Consider the following 19,894-nt stretch of genomic DNA (forward strand, 5'->3'; position numbering starts at 1 on the left):
TTCGCACCAAGGTGCCATCTTGCCAGCAGGAGCTCTGTGGCTCAATGTCCACCATGAACACTTCACAGGAAGGATCAGACTCCAACTCCAAGGTCTTCCAGGGCGGGAGGTGACTGCGTACTGCATACATTTACATATAAACACATCAACCCTTATTTCAGTGAGGGAAGCAGGCCAGGTGGGAGAAGATGAAGCATGAGTGGCCCTTGGCCTCCCGCCTTGAGGAGAAAGAAAACAGCCTCTCAGGGACTTGCCTATAGAGAACATGGGCTCCGGTCATTGCCAGGAGGGATTTGGGGCCCGGTGTGATCAGATCTCCTGGTATTTAGAAGGAAAAATCTGGATTCCAGGTGGATTCTCCCTAGTAGTAGGCATTGAGGAGTCATTCAAATGTAAAATAGATGCTGGCCAACACGGCAGAGCAAGAGAAAGCTGGTGACTCTCCTTAAGGTCCTCCAGGCTTGACTTGGGCAGTAAGACCAGAAGGAGTGCAGAAGATTCTTCCTGTTAACTGCAGAGCTTGTAGACTATGGTCAAGTTTTCCAGCCCAACCCCCGTAAGCAGCCCATGCAGGTACAGCGGTGGTTACATGTGATTTTCCCATGACAAGCCATGGGTTTGGCTCTATGTCTCCCACTCAAGCAGACAATCTGAAATGAGAGTGATTTTATAGTAGGGCTAACCTCGAAGGCCCCTGATTTAGGAACATAAAAGTCAGTGGCGTCTGAACTCCCGAACTTTCTCAGTGGCGACGTGTCTTGTACTCCCCTTCCACCTCATGGAACATTCCATTTGGTGGAGGCTCCGGGGCTCAGAATCTGGTGAACTGGAACTGACTGACCAGGTTCTAATGGAGGGGGAGGGAGTTCTCTCAACCAGCACAGAGGTGGAGACGATCCCAGCCCTGAGTGGGACCCAGGTCATTGTTCACTACCACGTCTGACCTCAGTGTGTTATTGTGCCACCCTCTGCCCCATCACTCTTTGTGTTCCATGCTATTTAAAAATAAAAGGTGACAACCAGCAGACAGCTGCTCCCCTACTCTCACATACTGGCATTTGAAAGCAGAAGGACTGGGTGAGTCCCAGCTCCACCACACACTAGCTGTAACATTGGGCCAACAGCTACTGACCATGTCTGTGTTCATCTTTGAAACAGGAACACAGTATTCCCATGTGAAAGCTGGTGATGAGACTCTGAATGAGGCTGTGCTCTGCATGGCGGTTATTCAGTAACTGGTGGTCCTTACTGCTGTGGCTGCTAAGATTTGCATTATTTTGAGTGCATTGAGACTTATCCAGCCACTCCCCTCTCACTCGCCTGGGATGGGTCCTGTCCTGCACGTTCCGCTGAGCCTTGTTGAGCTTTTGTCCCTTCAAATTCCAGTTGTGTTCAGATCTCTCTGGCCCCAAGCAGAGGGCAACTTAGAAAAGCAGGGAGACCACCCCACTTTGATTTCGAAGGCCTTCCCCCTAGGGACCCATGTGCATTTTAACAGACTTCTAAAGCTATTCAGATGATGCATGCTGCAGCCGTTAAGAAGAACAAGTTAGATCTGTCCACAGTAACAGAGCTTCTGAAAAAACTTAAATTTTAGGTTGATACATATAGTATGATATGATTTATATAAACACACATACAAACCATCAATTATTTCTTATGGATATATATGTCCTCATGTGTAAAGTATATATATATATACATATCCATGAGAGTGTGTGTGAGAGAGAGAGAGAGAATTAGTTACCACAATAAAGAGCTAGAAGAAGACATTAGCAATCTCCCAATTCTGGGGAAGGAGGAAGGGGAAGGGGAAGGAAAGGGAAGATGGTAAATCCTAAATGTTTTAAGAGAATGGCGAGTGTCTTTTCACCTTTATAACTGATTTTTAAGCTAAGGAAGTCAACCCAGATTATTTTCAAGCTTCAAGTCATGGCATGCGAAGTCACCAATGGACTGGTCTTGAATATTCCTCAAGTCACTGAAAGCAATTCTGGTCACTTCCTGTCCTAGGACATTCAGGGGTTACCAGGGTGCCATCATAACCTGCAGGGTTCCCGGCCACTCTTTCTCTCGGTGACCCCGGGAGTGGCTGGGAGGGTGGGGAGGGGAGGACAGACTTCCTCTGCCCTGGCTGAGACCTTCTCTCTCACTCTCTAGTGTTGCTTTCATGCTGGTCAAAAACAGCATCTAACTTTAAAGACCAAGATCGGGGGCTTGCCAAAACCTTAGAAAATTTATTCAATAGGAAGCCGTGCCTGCAAAACCACAGTGATAAGAAATAAGGCTGAAGGACTGCAAAATGCAAAATGTTCCCCAGAAGCCCAGTTGCTTTTCAAAAATAGAGAACCTAAATGTCGAACAATAAGAGATTGGCTATGTAAATTCTGACATGCATATTAAAACCGAACATGATGTAAACATGGAAAATAATGTTCTTGGAAAATGGCTCATGAAATGGGAAATGCAGATATACATTATTGATTCATCACTTCAAAGTTGAAGGCTATTCCTTGCAGCAAAAATCTTCTGGACAAAAATAGAGGGAAAAATCAACCAATAGTTTGAGAGAATGCAGACACAATCTACTAAGGACTGAACAGTGTCCCCCCGGTTCATATGTTGAAGCCCTCATCCACAACGTAATGGTATTTGGGAGGTGATTCAGTATAGATGAGGTCATGAGGATGGGACTCTCATGCTGGGATTAGTGTCCATAAAAGAAGAGACACCAGGAAGCTCTCTGCCCTTCTCTCTGCCACATGAAGACCTGGCAAGAAGGCAGCCCTCCACAAGCCGGGAAGAGCACCATCACCAGACCCAACCATGCACAGCCTCCAAAACTCTAAGAAATAAACATCTGTTGTTGAAGCCACCCAGTCTGTGTATTTCGTTATGGCAGCCCAAGCAGACTGAGACACAGCCCACCTCTACCTGAGCCCAGCGGAATGTGGCCCTGACTCAGCTACACACATGTGTGATCCCAGACAAATCACACACCCCTCCTGGGTCTGGATTTCCACTATCTATAATCTCTTGGACCAGGAGTTCCCATCTTGGGTGCCCCAAACCTTAAGAGTTGATGAAGACAGTTGTGAAAGCTATTATAAAGTCTTTATAGCTATTCCAAAAAAAATGCCTATTTACCTTGAAGTTACATATGTCTTTAATTGATACAATGGAAAAAATAATTCATTTTGAAAAAATAAGTTCAATTTTCTGGTAGACAAAATCTTTCAACCAGAGAGGTGTATTAGGCTAATGCTAGGTGCTGTAACAACCCCCCAAATAAAAGTGGCTTAGCACAATAGATGTTTATAACTCCATCATGTAAAGTCCAAACCAATGTTCCTGACTTAACTAACAGGCAGATCTCTTCCTGGTGGGAATTTTGTCTTGTGGTCTTCCAGGACCTCAGAGTCTACTGCATTTCACTGGAAAATAGGGAAGGAAGAGAGAATCTTGGAAGGGAGATTTTCCTGGGCCATTGGCTAGACTCAGTCACATTACCACAGCTAATTGCAAGGGAGGCTAGGAAACAGAAAGTCCAGCTGTATTTCCAGGGGATAAAAAAGAGGAAACTGGCTTGATGAGCCACTGATTGGTCTCCGCCAGAGAAGGCAAAAGAGGTCACACATAAAACAGTGCATTCACGCGAGGCATTTGAGCAAAACATGGAGCTGTTGCCGTGGGTGGGGTGTTTTCTGTGATGTCCTGTCAGTCTGTGATTTGGGGCTCATGTCTCACCTCCCAAATGATGGGCAATGATGGTATTAAAATAATGGCATCTGCAAAAGCCAGCTATGCCATCCCTATGGCACCAGTACCCTCAAAAATGCCTCACAATGCAACCCACCAGCAGCAAATGCGCCCAGATCTCCTACTTCAGGCAGCCAGACCCAGCCTGTGGCATGAGCTTTGATGTCTGCATAGGCGAGGTGCTGGCGAGGCTGGGTCCAGGTGGTCACTGCCACTAGGCCTCCAGTGGGTGCCATCATCGTGCTCTGCAGCCAAACCAGCTCCTCCTCTTTGAGATCCTGGGTTGCTGGCCTGGGAGCTGGGAACATGGAGACCTCTGAAACATCTCTGCTTTCCAGGGGTCTACGCCCAGGGGAGGGTGAGGCCAGAGACTGTGTGGTCTGAGCCCCGGCAAGTCCCTTCCCCTGGGATCCTGCGTGCCCTCATCTCCTGGACTGTCTCCTGCCTGTCCCTCCCCTCCCTCACCCCACTGGTGGTCTGCAGCTTCAGGCCAAGTTTGCTGCAGCTCCACAGGGACCCTGTGTTCTTCCCTCCACATCTCTGCAAGTGCCATTTCCCCACCCCAAGCACCTATCCCATGTTCCCTCCTCATTTGGCCCCGACTCCTAGCTATGCCTCCTGTGTCAACACAACTCAGGGCTCCTCTCTACTCACTGCCCTGAGTCATAATCCCTGGTGACTCCTCTGCCCCTCTCCCACTGGGCCTTAAGCCCACCTCTCCCCATCTCGCCCACCTCCTCCAGTCAGAATCCCAGCTGGGGCGGCTCTGCGGGTTGAGTCACACACCCCACCCGAGGTTCACTAGCACGCCAGCAAGAAGCCTTGGAGGCTGCAGAGACTTGGGGTGAGGGAACCAGGACCCAGGAAAGGCTGGGGCCACAGGCTGGCATATAAGCAATTACTGTCTGTTAACTGAATATGCACCAAGAGACAGGGCCATTTAGGGCTGGAGAATGGGAAGATTCGTGATCATGGCTAAAGGATGCAAAGGTTTCTTTCCGGGGTGATAAGTTCTAAAATTGACTGGGGTGGTGGTTGTACATATCTGTGAATATACTAAAAGCCATTGAACTGGACACTTAGAATGGATGAATTGCATGACATTCGAATTACATCTCCCTAAAGCTGTTAAAAAGCAGGTTTGAAGGGTGGAACCCCATGCCCCATGGTGGAAGGCAGGACGGAAGGCTTTATGTCCCTCAAAGGACTTTGAGACAATTCACTAAGGCCATAAAAGTAAAGTGCTTGGCACAGCACCAGCTTGTTGTAAATTCTTAATAAACAGTAGAAAATGAATGAGAAGTGATGGCCACCATCCCAGCATGGCATTGGAGCTGATGGCCGGCCAGTATCGGGGGTTCTTCTGCCCTGTGTGGAGTAAGCCCGTCGGTGCCTGGCTTCCAGGGAGGCAGGGGCCCCTTCCTGGAGGACACGGAGGTTTGGGTAGGGAGGCAGCCCAGCACCCTTTCTGCAGGGCAGTGCGAAGCCCTCCTCCGCAGATAAGCCGCCGGCCTCTTCACCAGGTTCTCAACAGCCAGATTGGAGATCTCTGGCTTGCAGGCTGCGGCTCCTGGCTGTCAGGAGGAATGAGCCCAGGGATGATTAATGAGAGAGAAGGAAATGTAATCATGCATGCCGGCCCGCCAAGCAGCATAAATCTCTCTGGAGATTGCGGAGAGAATGGATTCCTCCCTCGCCGGGCCTTGAGAAAGGGCATCCTCTAGGTTCCGCAGAGTCTGGGGAACCTCCACAGGCCTTGAATCAAAGCTCACCTGCACAGACCAGATGGGGGTGAGTTTGCAGGAACCCGCTGCTGAGGACAACCACCGTGCCCTTGGAGGCAGCCCGCATCGGTGACTCTCTGGGAAGCCAGGCTTGGCTGCAGATGGGGCAACGGATAAAGGCAGCAGGCTTAGGCCCAGGTTCGAATCCAGCCTCTGCCACTCACTAGCTCTGAGACCTGGGGCAAGTTTCTTCATTCTCTTGGCTCCTCCTTGTCTGTGAAATGGGAATAGAGGATTGCTGCAGGGCGTCGTGTGAGGACTGAGTTGCTAGGGGCACAGTTCTCAGAAGCAGGGTGGGCAGTGAGCATGCCCTGCAGGAGCTGCTGTCCTGCTCATCTTCTCTGCCACACAGTTGCCCTGCATCCTCTCATCCAATCACCATGACACCTCGAGAAACGGGAGTTACTGGTCCCATCATGCAGATGGGAACACAGAGGCCGCATGCATTGCCTGACTCGTCCAACCTTCCGCGGCGAGCAGCGCCGGCCCCTCACCGAGCTGTCTGACCCGGGGTCTCCGTGACTTTTAAAAGTTTGTTCCCAGCCTCCCACAGGGCACTGGCATGGCCATTTGTCAGCACTGCCTCCAGACCCCGGGCGACAGGAACAAATGTCACCCTCCCACCCGCCAGCTGTCTTTGGAGCATGCAGCGTCCGAGGGGCCTCAGATCTATTTCTGAAGGGGGTGCGTTTGCCTTTGTTCCTCTTCCCGGCCATCCCGAGTCCCCTGCCTTTCTTCATCCGAATTATGAAAAGTCCTTTTGGCCCTGGGATCTGCGAAGACTTTGGACTCCTTGGAGGTCAGAAACCTGAGCTGGGCACTAAGAAGACACTGACTGTTGCTGAGAAGGGAGGGACCTTAATGGCTTTAGCAGATGCCACAGGGAGGGAGGGCCCAGGGCAGCCCCAACTGCCCACCCGCAGATAACCCCTGCCCCTCTCCACGGGCAAGGCAGAAAGTCCGAGTTCTGGGGAGGCTGGTAAATACTTAGGTGTCAGCGCCTGCAGGGTTCCAGCCTCTTGCCTCAGAGAAGGCATTTAAAGTTCTTACAAGAAACTTTTTGCTGAACCAGCAGGAAAGTGTGCTTGGGCGCTGATGGGACTGAGGACTGTGGCTTCTATAGGGGGTTCTAGAATCTCAGGGCTGCAAAACCCTGTCGGGGTTAGTGCATCACCTGGCCCCAGGACTGAGCAACTCCATCCAGGGGTAGGTGGACAGGGGTGCAGCTGTGGGCACCGAGCACCCATGCCCGGCTCCAGGCTGGGACACTCACTGCCCACAGGTATGCCCTTGGCTCACTTCTGAGACACCTGGGGAGGCAAGACAAGAGGTTTTATTTGCACAAAGGGGGCCTGTTTATTATTCATGAGAACAACTCTGTTTAAAAAACAGGATGGAGTTTTTGTTTTCTTTTTAAGGTCAGTCACCTTGCTAAAAATTCAAGATACAAAAAGGTATCTCCCTCTCACCTGTTCCCACAGCCACCTTCCCAGGGGTGCCTATATTTTCAGATGTTTTAGGCCTGTAAGCATATACTTACATGCATAAAAGTAGGTAAGTGCATATCCTTCCACACATGTAAGTATATACATACATATATATACATACACAGTCATGCACCACCTAAAGACAGAGATACATTCTGACAAATGCATCACTACATGTTTCTGTCACTCTGTTAACATCTTAGAGTGCACTTACACACACCTAGATGGTACAGCCTGTTAGACACCTAGGCTGTACGGTAGAGTCTATTGCTCCAAGGCTACAAACCTGTACAGCATGTTATACACTGAATACTGTAGGCAACTGCAACACAATGGTAAGTATTTGTGTATCTAAACAACAAAAAGGACAATAAAAATATGGCATGATCATCTCATGAGACCACCATTGTATATGCACTCCACCATTGGCTGAAACGTGGTTATGCAGTGCTTGACTGTATACACACACACACGCATGCATGTATGTATGTACACACACACTATCCACACTGCCCTGCACCTTGCTGTTTTCAGTCATCTCTTTTGGTGATAAGTAGATGTTGGCATGTAAAGAGCTCTGATTCCTTTTCATGGCTGTATACTACTCCCTCGAACAGCCTGTTCATTATCTATGTATTTAGCTGGTCCCCTGCAGACAGGCCCTTCTTTATAAATATTACTTTTCCCATGGAAAGGGAACATGTTTTGCCAGGGGGATACTGCTTATGGGGGAACAGGGAGGGGTTGGTGAGAATGTGGGGTCTAGAGATATGAGTTAGCATCCTGACCTCTTGTTCATTAGCTGTGTAGCCTGTGCCACCCTCAGCCACCCCCACCTGTCCACCAGGCAATAAACAAGACACAGAGACCTTCATGAATCGAACACATGTGTTTAGGGCAGAAGAGTTGAGCTATTCCATCCTGAGCTCTGAAAGCAGCCTCACCTGGGCTCACATTCCCACCCTACTTCTTACAAACCAGGTGCCTTCGGCAGACACCTTTCCTTTGAGCCTCAGTTGGGGCATAATTATGACAGCCCCTGCCCAGGTTTATTTTATGATTAAATGAGATTCACCAGCATTTGTCCAGCCACTTGACATCAGCTGGCATCAGTGCGTGCTCAATTCATTTTTGCTTTTACCGTTGTCATCATCATTGGGGTGGCAGTGGCCCTCCTGACACACCGTACCCTTCTGCACAGATGTTCCCCACAATGCAGTTGTTCCAAACCCACAGCACTATTGGGGCTCAGAGACTCAGCACAGCTGGTGGGGATTACCACTTCATCCACCCCCGCAGGTGCTCCGGAGGCCACTTCCTCTCCTGCAGCCCCCACGTGTGTCTTTGAATATTGGAACACACACGATTCCTCTTTGCTGGGGGAATCCTGCCTGGAGGCAGGGGATTGAACCAAATGACCTTTTGACCTCTTGTCCAACCCTAGCCCCAGGATTCAAGATCAGCCAGAGTGCACATGGGCCAATGAAATTAGCCACTCCTTCCGGAAAGGCGAGTTTATTCGGCATTCTGCGGCTCCCAGGGGCTGTCTTAGATAAGACTTGCTCCAGGCTCTTTTGTCCCCCAGGACTTGTGGAAATTTCTGGGTCTGTTTGACATCAACTCCTGTCCTCCCAGTCCCACCACTGGCCTTCCACTGACCTTTGGAGACCAGGGAGAGAAAACGTCATTTTTCCCCTAACCCACTGAACTCTCTGAAAGGACAAAGTGACAGAGGCCAGCACGGCCTCTCCAGAAAGGCCTCCCGGCCCCACCGTCACTGTGACTTAGAAAACGCGCCCACACCTAGCCGAGGCCAAGAGACACCGGCCGCCCCTTACACTGAAAATGAAGTAAAACCTCCTGAGAGGCTTCTCCAGAGAGGCTCGGAAGAGCAGCAGGAAGGCAGGAGGATGCCGATAGGACACCGGGGAAGAGGAGGAAACGGCCTGCCGGGTCTAGACGCGTTATCTGGCCCCGTTCGGGCACCAGCTCCACACTCATCCATCGTCCCCCGGAATGGACTTCCTGCCTCGGGACCGCGCCAATGACCTCACCCCCTTGCTATCTCGGCGGTCCCGCTGCTGCCCGCTCTAGGCTCTCAGGAATTAGGGGGCCAGATAACAAGTCTAGACAGCTCAGAAGTTTGAAATGGATTATTCTCGCCGGGGAGGAGGATGGCTAGCAACGAGCTCTAGGGACTCAAATGCCAAATCCCTGGACTGCATTCAGATTCCAAGTGGGAGTCCAGGCGTTCACGTTCTTCCTCCGTGGTCCCACCGCCCTGAAGCTGGCAATGAGTACAGCAGCTGCCACGAAGCCGCCAGGGTCTGGCTGCCCTAGCCCGGGCAGTGGGCACTCCACTCCCTCCTCCCTTCGTCGGCTTCAGGTGAGCTTCCAGGGCCTCGTCTGCAGAGCTGGACAGAGCTCTCCAGGCTGAGAAGGTGACGGTGCCTCTCCACCCTCGAGGCGTTCAGCCCTAGGGGCAGGAGTGAGTGACACAATAAATGGAAGGAAGTCCAACAGGGAGCAGAGCTCCTCCCAAGAGACGACGGCGCACGACGGCGCTGAGTGCTCGCCCAAACATCAAGTGTTTGCCATGAAACTCTCCTCAGTGCCCCCTCTGCCCCTTCTCCCACCCTGTTATGAATCCATTGTGTTCCCCAAAAATTCTTACGTTGCCATCCAAACTGCCAGTGCCTCCGAATGTGACCTTATTTGGAAATAGGGCCCTAGAAGATGTAATTAGTTGAGCTGAAGTCATGCTGGAGTAGGATTGGCCTCTAAACCGCTATGATGGTGTCCTTATAAAAAGGCCCCCTCACAGACAGGCAGCCCACAAATGCCCAGGAGCCACTGTCATCAGGAGCAGCCCTGGGCCAGGGACGGTGAAGCCCTGCAACATAAAACCCTGCTCGGCTGCAAACTCCAAGGGGGCCAGACAGTCTCCCAGCGCTCCCCAGAGGGTGGAGCCCCGGTTGCCCACCATGGTCAGCTGATCAACAGTCCACCCTGCATTGGTTTCGTCCCTTCCCCCGGTCCCTTCCCAACTCCCCTACACTTCCTGAGGTCACCTCCCAAAAACTGCCTGCACTCACAACCCGCCTCTGGTCTGGGTGGGGAGGAGGCAGCTTTCCATGAACACAGGCTGGGAAGAGGAGACACAGTCTTGGCCGCACGTGGGAGGGATAACCCTGCATGCAGTCACAGGTTTGTATAGAATACCTGTCCCCAAACTAAAACCAACCTGATGGGTGTCGGAAATTGCTAGTTCTGTCTACATCCATTCCCTCTCTTAAGTGACCGTATTAATCACAACCAGGTGCGTGACTGCCCTTCCCCAAGATTCACCACCCCACCCTTCGTTCTCAGTGAAGACCTAAGGTCTCAGGTAGGTGTGACTCCACATCTAGATTCTGGGATGTGAACAACAGTGATGCCCAACTCGCAGCTTGTGGTCTTAAAGGGAAGACATATACCTGCACCCCTCCTTTCCTCCATCACGCTGTCCAAAACGCAGGCGTGATGGAAGCAGGTATGACTACTCCCCCTCCTCCTTCTCCTCCTCTTCATCCCCTCCGCCTCTTCCTCCTCCTCCTCCCCTTCTTCCCCCTCCTCCCCCTCCCTTTCCTCCCCCTCCTCCTCTTCATCCCTCTCCTCCTCTTCCTCCTCCCCCTCCCCTTTCTCCCCCTCCTCCTCTTCATCCCACTCCTCCTCTTCCTCCACCCCCTCCTCCTCCCCCTCCCCTTCCACCCCCTTCTCCTCCTCCTCCCTGTCTTCCTCCTCTTCCTCTTCCTTCATTTTTTCTCCTCATGCTCTTTTCCTCCTCGTCTCACACTAAGGAAGTGGGAGGTTTAAGAGCATTATGCAGAGTCTTACCTTAATCTTTCTCCAGCAGAGCCAACACTGAAGCTTCTGACCCTAGCATCCCTTTCATTTATCTTAGAGAGCCCAAGACAGACTTCATTTACATTAATCCAAAAATAACAAAGTGGAAGAAATACATGTTGGTAAGGAATTCAGGTGAACCCAGGAAGCGTTGGGAAAGTGGGCTCCTTCCGGGAAAGGCCAGGGGGAGAGAAGCAGCTTGTTCTGATCAAATCTGGAAAAAAGCTGCTTTCCAGGGGCGAGGTGGCCTGACACATGGCGGGCGGGTCACCGGGAGCCCCACTTGAGGGAATTTCCTAGAATGACAATGCGCAGGAACAATGGGTGAGTCAGGTCTTTAATTGCCAGAAATTATCTTGATTTCATGGCAATGTTGAAGTGTTTAGAAAGCCTGTGTTACATAAAGATAAACTCGTGTGAAGACCGGGGCTGACGAGCAGCCAAAAGCAGTCAGGAATGTGTGCTCCACGCCGGCTCCTGCCGATGTTAACATTTTTCAGGCACTGAGCGGGAATCGTCTGTATCTGAGAGATTGGGAAGACCTCCGTTGTGAGCCCGGCCCTGCTTGTTGGCTTGTTGGCCGCAGGAGGCCGGCTCGGTGGCTGCCCCTGGTGCCCGCTGATCCATGCGCAGCATCAGGCTGGAGGAGCGCGCGCAGCTCGCTGGAAATGACCCTGCCTGGGGACGAAAGCGTGGGCTCAGGGCCAGAGCTGGGTTGGAATACTCCTGCTCCTTGCCAGCTCTGGGGCCTTAGGTCACCGAGCCTCTCTGAGCGCATTTGGCACACCTCTGAAATGAAGCCGATGTCGGCTCTTGTATTTGGTACCGGAGGGTTTGGGGCAATATCGGGAGAATACATTTCCCAACGGCTCTCCTCTTCCTCCCTTTCCCTTTGAGAGACGTGAAAAGAAGCACTTGGGCTGACACGGGCCTGGGGCACATGGAAATAGGTGTGGAAGTGTGAGGTGTGGTGTGAGTGAGGTGTGGTGTGAGAGTGAGGTGAGGCGTACGAGGTGCGAGGTGGATGTAAGGGTGAAGGGTGAGAGTCAAGTGCGATATGTGAGGTGTGAGTGTGAGATGTGTGTGTGAGGTATGGTGTGTGAGATGTGAGCATAATGGGTGTGTGAGGTGTGTGGGTTGGAGTGTGATGTGAGTGTGAGGTGTGTGTGTAATTGTGAGGTGTGAGGTGAGGTGTGAGTGTGAAGTATGAGTGTGAGCTTGAGTGTGAGATGTATGAGTGTGAGATGTGCGTGAGGTGTGACCGTGAGTGTGAGGTTTGAGTGTGAGGTGTGTGAATGTGAAGTGTGAGGTGAAGTGTGAGATGTGTGTGAGGTGTGACTGAGTGCAAGGTGTGAGGTGAGGTTTGAGATGTGTGAGGTGGTGTGAGTGTGAGATATGTGTGTGTGAGGTGTGTGAGTGAGGTGTGAGTGTGAGTTGGAGAGTGATGTGTGACATGTGAGGTGAGGTGTGAGTGTTAAGTATGAGTGTGAGGTGTGAGGTGTGTGAGATGTGTGTGAGGTGTGTGAGCATAAGGTGTGATGTGAGTGTGAGATGTGTGCGAGGAGTGACTCTGAGGTTTGAGTGTGAGGTGTGTGAGTGTAAAGTGTGAGGTGAAGTGTGACCTGTGTGAGGTGTGACTGAGTGTAAGGTGTGAGGTGAGGTGTGACGTGTGTGTGAGGTGGTGTGAGATGTGTGTGTGAGGTGGTGTGAGTGTGAGGTGTGAGTGTGAGATGTGTGAGTGTGAGGTGTGAGTGTGAGAAAGTGTGGGGTGGCTGTGTGAGTTGGTAGAAGTACCTCTGGACAGTAAGTCAGAAGCCCTGGATAAGTGGCAATACTTGGAAGGAAAATCAAGTCAAGGTTTTCACAGGGAGATCATTTGAAGCAAGAACATGTATTGGTTTTGGTACCTACCTACATGTGCGGTAAGAGCATAAAAATATGGACAGAAGGAAACATCCCAACTTCTGAATAGAGGTTCCCTTTAGGGCTGGAAAGATGGGGAAGAAGGGAAGGAGGGAAATGGGATAGAGTAGGAGCCTTTGGCTGTCTTTAAGTTTTTAAGTAGACAAAACGGAGCATGGGTTAATTCTGAGAGCTGGCATAGCCAGACGCCAATAAACATGAGAAAGTGGCCATCACTATCAGCCATCGGGAAATACAAATTAAAGCCACATTGCAACCCCTCTTCACACCTTCCAGGCTGGCAAAAGTGAGCAGCAGTCACCCAGCACTGAGGAGGGGGTGGAGCGGATCAAGTTCCCGGATGCCGGATGCCGGATGCTGTCGGTGGGGGTCGCGTGGTGCCAACCCCTTGGAAAAGTGTTCAGCAGTGCCTTACACAGCATAGCACACGCACACCCTGTCACCCAGCAACTCCACGCTAGCTGCATGCCCCATACCATGGGTGCATACGTTCATCAGAAGACATCTGCAGGAAGGTTCGCAGCAGCGCTATTCAGAATAGTTAAAACCCAGGAACTGCCTTATGCCCTTTGATGTTGAGATCAGCTCAGCAAGTGCGGTCTCTTCTCACAGTAACACAATAGAGCAATGAGAACGAGCAGAGCACACAGCTCCACACAGCTGAGGATGGCTCTCAGATAGGGTGATGAGGGAGGGATTCCTGCTGCTGGATTCCATTACTATGGAGTTTTGTCAAGTTTAACCACAGGCACCACCAATCTCTTCAGTTAGAGATCAGGGTAATGACTGGCCTTAGGTGGTAGGGACTAAAGGGGCCTAAGGGCTTCTGGGGTTCAGTGGTCATGTTCTTTTGTTTTTGTTTTGAGACATGGTCTTGCTCTGTTGCCCAGGCTGGAGTCCAGTGGTGCAATCATGGCTCACTGCAGCCTCAAGCTCCTGAGCTCCGGTGATCCTCCCACGTCAGCCTCCCAAGTACAGGGGATGACAGGCACACACCACCACACCCAGCTAATTTATTTTATTTTATTTTATTTTATTTTATTTTATTTTATTTTATTTTTTGTAGAGATGGGGCTCTCACTATGTTTCCCAGGCTGATCTCAAACTCCTGGCCTCAAGCCATCCTCCTGCCTCACCCTCCCAAAGTGCTGGGATTATAGGCATGAGCCACCACCCCTAACCTTATATTCTGTTCCTCTGTCTGGGTGCTGGTGACCCGGGCGTGGTCATTTTGTGAAAATTCCTCAGCCCACACCCTTAGGATCTGTGCACTCTTCAGACTATAACTTATACTTTAATAAAAAGTTCACTTTGAAAACTATCTTTAAAAATCTGGATGGGGGATATGCTGTTATCTATCATTATTTTCCAGATCTTTGGTATATTTCATGATTTAAAAAATAGATACAAAGATATACAGCAATAGGAGATGCAAGGATTGAAGCCATTTACTGAAAGCGGTTTAGGGGCAGGCATGGAGTGGGGCCACTTCCCGGGGATTAGCTCATGAATCCCCACGTCAACCCTTGAACGTGCACCCGAGACCATAGCTCTGAAGCACAAGGCAAGGCAGCTGCCCACGGCCACAGGGCTTGGTACGTGGGGTCTGGATCCACACGAGCCTCTCTGAACCCTCTGCCCTGGCTCGGGGTGGGCTGCCGGCCACACGCTCAGACAAGTTCTCCCGGAAAGAGGACAACAAGAATGGCAGCCACTTCCAGCTCCAATGCTCTCAGCCCATGCACACTGGGAAGTCAGGGAGAGTTCACCAGGTCAGCATTCCAGGGCCACGGAAGAGTTTCGGTTACAGTGCAAGGACTCGGGAGTTCTGATGGCCGTCACCAGCTGATTTGTTCTGGGTCACAAGGCTATCAGAGGCTGCTCCAAGTCAGGGAACTAAGGAAGCTGGTGGTTTATGTGGGGGCCTGTGAGCAAAGACAGGAAATGGCAGAGATTTGCTCCTCAGAGCAACCACAAAGCTCAGCGCGGAGGTGCAGCGTCCACGCTGAGTCCCCTCCTGCCCTTTGGACAGGCACCCAGTGAATGAGATGCAAACTCAGCACGCATGCGGTAGAAGCACGTGCTCAAGCTAATCCATGCACCGCCAACGCCATTTTCAAGACGAAAACATCTTTGAGAGATGAGGCACTCTCAGCCCCTTCCCAGCCCCAGGATCCCCCAGGGGGGTACGTCTCTGAACACCAGATCCCAGGCAAGGTTCCCGCACAAAACACAGCCTCCACCCACCTCAACCACACACACAGACAAAGGATCCACACAGGGTCTCATAAGTTCAGGGCAGGCTGCCGACAACAGACTTCTCGGGAAGTGACATTGAACAAAGGATTTTGTTTCAGGGAGCTCCCGCCCCCACCCCACCTTCTCACCAACTTTATTGAGATGTCACTCACACGCCACACAATTCACCTACTTAAAGGGCACAACTCAAGGGGTTTCAGCGTATCCACAGAGTGGTGCAGCCACCACCAAGTTCAGAACCATTTTAGCCAATTTTAGAACATTTTCATCACTCTGAAAAGAAACCCAACACCTCTTAGTGATCACCACCCCCCTCCCCAACTTCTCCCTTTCCCCCAGGGCTGGAAACACCTAATCTACTTTATGTCTTCGTGGATTTGCTTGTTTTGGACATTTTCTATAAATGGATCCATTTAATACATCTGGCCTCTCTCACCTCGTGTCCTGTTTTCAAGGTTCATCCTTGTAGCTTGTGCCAGAGCTTCATTCCTTTCCATGGCCGAATAATATTCTGTTGTGTGGATAGATGACATTTTGCATATCCACTGATCACTTGCAAGCATTTGGGTTTTTTGTGTTTTTGGCTATTATAAATCACTCTGCTATGAGCACCTGTACAAGATCCTTGTGTGGATGAATGTCTGCAATTCTCTTAGATATTTGGCATAACCTATGCAGTCTGCAGAGCAAGAACCATAAGGCAGGCGCTCGAGGATGCCACCGTCGGCTGCGTGCAGCGGAAGCCAGGGAGAAAGGCACGCCACTCTTACGGAATCCCAGTGCACATCACACAGTGAGGCCCTGTGGATACTTGCTGAAGAAATGATGTAGTGAATGAATGTATCTGGGCACTTGGCCATATCAGTTGCTTGAATTTTAGGCGTTAGCGTGTGCTGACCCTGTCTCCTTCCATCAGCCTCTACAGGACAAAGTTGGCCTAAGGAACTTTCCCCATGCTATTCTAAGAGGTGCTTGATGTTGGGGGCACTGTGTGTCTGCCTTTGGGGCATCTTAAACAGTCCATCCATATGGGACCAGAGGGAGGGAGGAAACATGTGTGGAGAGCTTATCTCTGAGAACAACCCTAACCCTGTGGCCGCTCGCCTTCATGGTGATCAGAGCACAGACTCTGTGCTCTGGACATGGACGTGACATGGGCTCAAGTCCTAGCTCCACCTCTTACAAGTGCACAACCATGCGTTAGCTACTTGGTATCTCCGAGCCTTGGTTCCCTTCTGCATGGCAGGGACCACAGTGCCTTACTATTTACAAGTATAGGCTGGTGTTTGTGAGGCTCCTGCAAAGGTCTGATGTGGAGTCAGCACTCGGGAACCAGCAGTGCTGCAAAGTGAAGTGGCCACGGCACACAGACCTGCACCCAGGAGGAATGGTGTGCATCGCTCAGGGTGCATTTGGCTGCAAGTAAGGAATAGAAAAGAAACAGGTTGGGCTGCAACCAATGGTGACCACCACAGAAGCCAAGTAATGGTGTGCATGGATGCTTTACTTAGGAAACTAGTTCTCCTTATTTTAAGGAGCTTTGCTGATTCTCTGGATACCAAGTAGCATCTCGGCTTAAAAGGATTTGATGAATCTAATGAATTGAGTATGGAAAGAGAACCTCTAACATGGGTTTGTCTTGACCTCCCTGGAATAGATGTTCTTAGGAGAGTTCTGAAATGTTACACAGCAGATGTCATGGCCCCTGGACCAGGCTAACTGGAGAGGTTTTGTTCACCTGGGAAGCAGAACTTTTGCCATGCACATATGAGATCTTGCCCAAGCACATGCGGTCTGGCATTCTTTCCTTCACATTTTTCTTGGGTAGATTTCTTTTTTCCGGCTCAACCTCCAAAAGTCTCCTCCCAAGCCCTGCAGGAAACTGTGAACTGTAACTTCTACAAGCATAAAGTCCCGCCTCTTTCTTTTTCACCCCTGTGCTCTTTAGAGTGTGCTGTACAGTTCAGAAATAAACTAGGAGAAATACAAAGTCCATCTGTGTTTCATTCGGGATTGTGTTTTGCATGAGATACAAACCGTTTACTCCACAGTGATCTCATATGTTGCCATAAACCTTAATAGTAGAGGTACCAAAACTATTCCTCCAACCATAGCTTTTTGGTGGCAGAGATAGGACAATTATCAAGTCATGCTCAGAATTGTCCTCATGGTCACAAGGTAGCTGCTGCTGCTCAAGATATCATATTATTACTTCCCAGCATTCAAAGCAGTAAAGACGAGGAGGGAGGAGAGAGAATATCTCTTCTTATTTGTATTTATATGCTTCTAAACACACAAATACATTTTCTTCTAAGTTTTTGGTCTTGCCTTTCACATTAAACTTCTGGATAAATCTGGTATTTATTTTTGTGTACAGTGTGACATAGGAGTCCCATCTCATGTTTTAACATAGAGTGTTTAAATGACATAACTGAATTTGTTCATCTTCTGTGGATTTTGCTTTGAAACTAGAGCTGTTTTCTTGTTAATCATCTCCCAAGCTAGTTTTGAGATCAGGGTACTTGTCCTGTGTTTCAGATATTTTCAGATGTTCTCAGAAAGGGGATGGGATGGGGGGAAAATGTGCTGCCCAGCAATATTCCGGAAATTGATTTGTCTGGGAATTCATGGAAGAATACACCCATGTTGGCATTAGCGATATTTTCCACATCTAGGACCTCAGCTGCCGATAAAGTTACGAAGTAGACCGAGCTGCTGTCTCCATCCCTCATTGTATGCAGGAGACAGCCAGGGCTTTCAGGGTGGCTCTGGCAGGTGGCTCTGAAGTGGAGGGCTTCCTCTGCCTTCCGTGGAACCCTGATGGCTCTTCTTGTAAGTTCAGATGGCCACTCCTCCCCAGGGTCACGGATGCCTGACCACTTCCTCACCAAGGATGTCCCCCATACAGAAGGCAGACCCGTGGTTCTGGGGGCCTCAGGCTGGGCTCTCCACCCATTTCCATCCACTTCATGGCACATCCTCCTGACACTGATGATAGTGCTCCTTCCTCTTTAGCACCTGAAGGCATCACAGGCATCAGTGTGGCTCCGCAGCCCCATTTGGATTGATTCAGGCTGCATGTGCAAGGCTCTGATTTCACTGATTCCTGGAGACAAGCTCATGTTCCAGGAGAAGACTCACTTTACAGCAGGCCAGGGTTTGGGCAGGCAAGAGCCTTGTCACTTTTTGGACGCATTCGGTCACTTATCATTTGTGCCTTCAAAGCACCGTATTTGGGAGCCAGATATTTTTCATAAATAAATGAGGTCAAAAGCTGATAAAAATCAATGCATCTGAAACAACGCATGGTTCCTGGTTCAGCTTTCCGGCGGATACCTTGTGGCCCAGCGGGTCCCTTTGAAATATTCACAACAACAGAAAGGCTTGTTTTTCCATCCAAAGCAAATGGAAATACTCTCAGTGGGGCAAAAACAAATATTGTCTGGGGCCTGGAGCCTCTCAGACAACCAAGCCGTCTGTGGGCATCAAGGATGTTCACAACTTTGCTGAGACCATCTGTGAGAGGAGGGTCTTCACATCACACGGAAAGACAGGAGGCTGTCTTGGGGTGGAACAGTTTTTAAGAAAGAACTCAGAGTGTGAACAGAGTGGTTTCTGGAGCCAGATGAACCTGGGTTGGAGTCCTGGGGCAACTGCTTGCCAGTTACCTTGCCGCTCAGTGCCTCAGTTTACCTGACAGACGGGATATTAGTCGCTACTTTACAGGGGTTCGGAGGGCTACGTGACTTAAATCACACAGTTAAGTCCTAACTTAGTGGTAGTTCTCCAAATTGTTAATATTTCCATGTCAGAAATTAATGAAGTGTAAGTCCTTGTCAAATAGCTCATTTTTATCCTGTACCGTCACATCCAGCATTGTTTTGTCTTACTCTTGTTGTTGTTTCATGTCATTTTTAGAACGAGCAGGTGTTAGCTGAGTTAGGCCCTGTGGATGAGTCTCTCCTCTCCACCTAGGGGCAGGGGCCATGCCTGGTACTCCTTCTGTGCCCACACTGGATTGTTATTAGGAATAACAGTTCATGGTCACCAAGCCTGGAGGAGCACTCACACATGCCAGGTGAGGCTCTGAGGCTTCCCACACACGAATCACTCACTTAATCCTCACAGTAACTCCATGCCAGGGTGGAGGGCACTATGATCATCCCCATCTTACAGACTGAAATTGAAGCTCAGAAGGGCGGATTGACCCCCCCCAGCACCATTCAGCTTGTATGTGGCAGGACCGGGGTCCATCCAAGACAGCCTGCCCCTCTCTGTCCAGTCATGTTTTATCTATCAGTGGGGGAGTGAAAAGGGGTCAGGGGTCAGAGGTCATATCTGGAACAGTCATGTTTGGGTGAAGTCAGGAGATAAATATAAATCAAAGGTGTTAGGATGTAACACTGTGCAGCTATCAGAGAAAACAGCTTGGCAGTTCCTCAAAAGATGAAACCCAGAGTCAGTGTATGACCCAGCAATTCCGCTCCTTAGAGTGTACACAAGAGAACTGAAAGCAAGTGTTTAAACAAAGACATGTACACACATGTTCATAGCAGCCTTATTTGCAATAGCCAAAAGGTAGAAACAGCCCAAAAGTCCATTAGCAGATGAATGCATAAACACAAAATATGGTCTATCCACACAATTGAATATTAATCAGACTTGAAAAGGAATGAAGTTCTGACGCATGCTGCAATATGGGTGAACCTTGAACACATCATGCTAAGTCAAAGAAAGTAGATATGAAACATCATGTATTGTATGATTCCATTTATATGAAAGGTCCAGAATAGGTAA

The 19,894-nt window shown here is 49.9% G+C and overlaps 4 annotated features.

The window, feature by feature from the left end:
- Positions 4,690-5,634: an enhancer, noted in NCBI's record as "H3K4me1 hESC enhancer chr16:86958578-86959522 (GRCh37/hg19 assembly coordinates)". NCBI's record gives its function as "activates a minimal SCP1, AML or CMV promoter by ChIP-STARR-seq in naive and primed H9 embryonic stem cells {active_cell/tissue: H9 hESC(naive and primed)}" and the evidence as "EXISTENCE:reporter gene assay evidence [ECO:0000049][PMID:30033119]".
- Positions 5,635-6,578: an enhancer, noted in NCBI's record as "H3K4me1 hESC enhancer chr16:86959523-86960466 (GRCh37/hg19 assembly coordinates)". NCBI's record gives its function as "activates a minimal SCP1, AML or CMV promoter by ChIP-STARR-seq in primed H9 embryonic stem cells {active_cell/tissue: H9 hESC(primed)}" and the evidence as "EXISTENCE:reporter gene assay evidence [ECO:0000049][PMID:30033119]".
- Positions 5,635-6,652: a biological region, named in NCBI's record as "H3K4me1 hESC enhancer GRCh37_chr16:86959523-86960466".
- Positions 6,400-6,652: a silencer, noted in NCBI's record as "fragment chr16:86960288-86960540 (GRCh37/hg19 assembly coordinates)". NCBI's record gives its function as "represses an EF-1alpha promoter that drives an FKBP-Casp9 reporter gene in an ReSE screen in K562 erythroleukemia cells {active_cell/tissue: K562}" and the evidence as "EXISTENCE:reporter gene assay evidence [ECO:0000049][PMID:32094911]".

This window comes from Homo sapiens, chromosome 16 (assembly GCF_000001405.40).
Source record: "Homo sapiens chromosome 16, GRCh38.p14 Primary Assembly".
In the NCBI taxonomy this organism is placed as follows: Eukaryota; Metazoa; Chordata; class Mammalia; order Primates; family Hominidae; genus Homo; species Homo sapiens.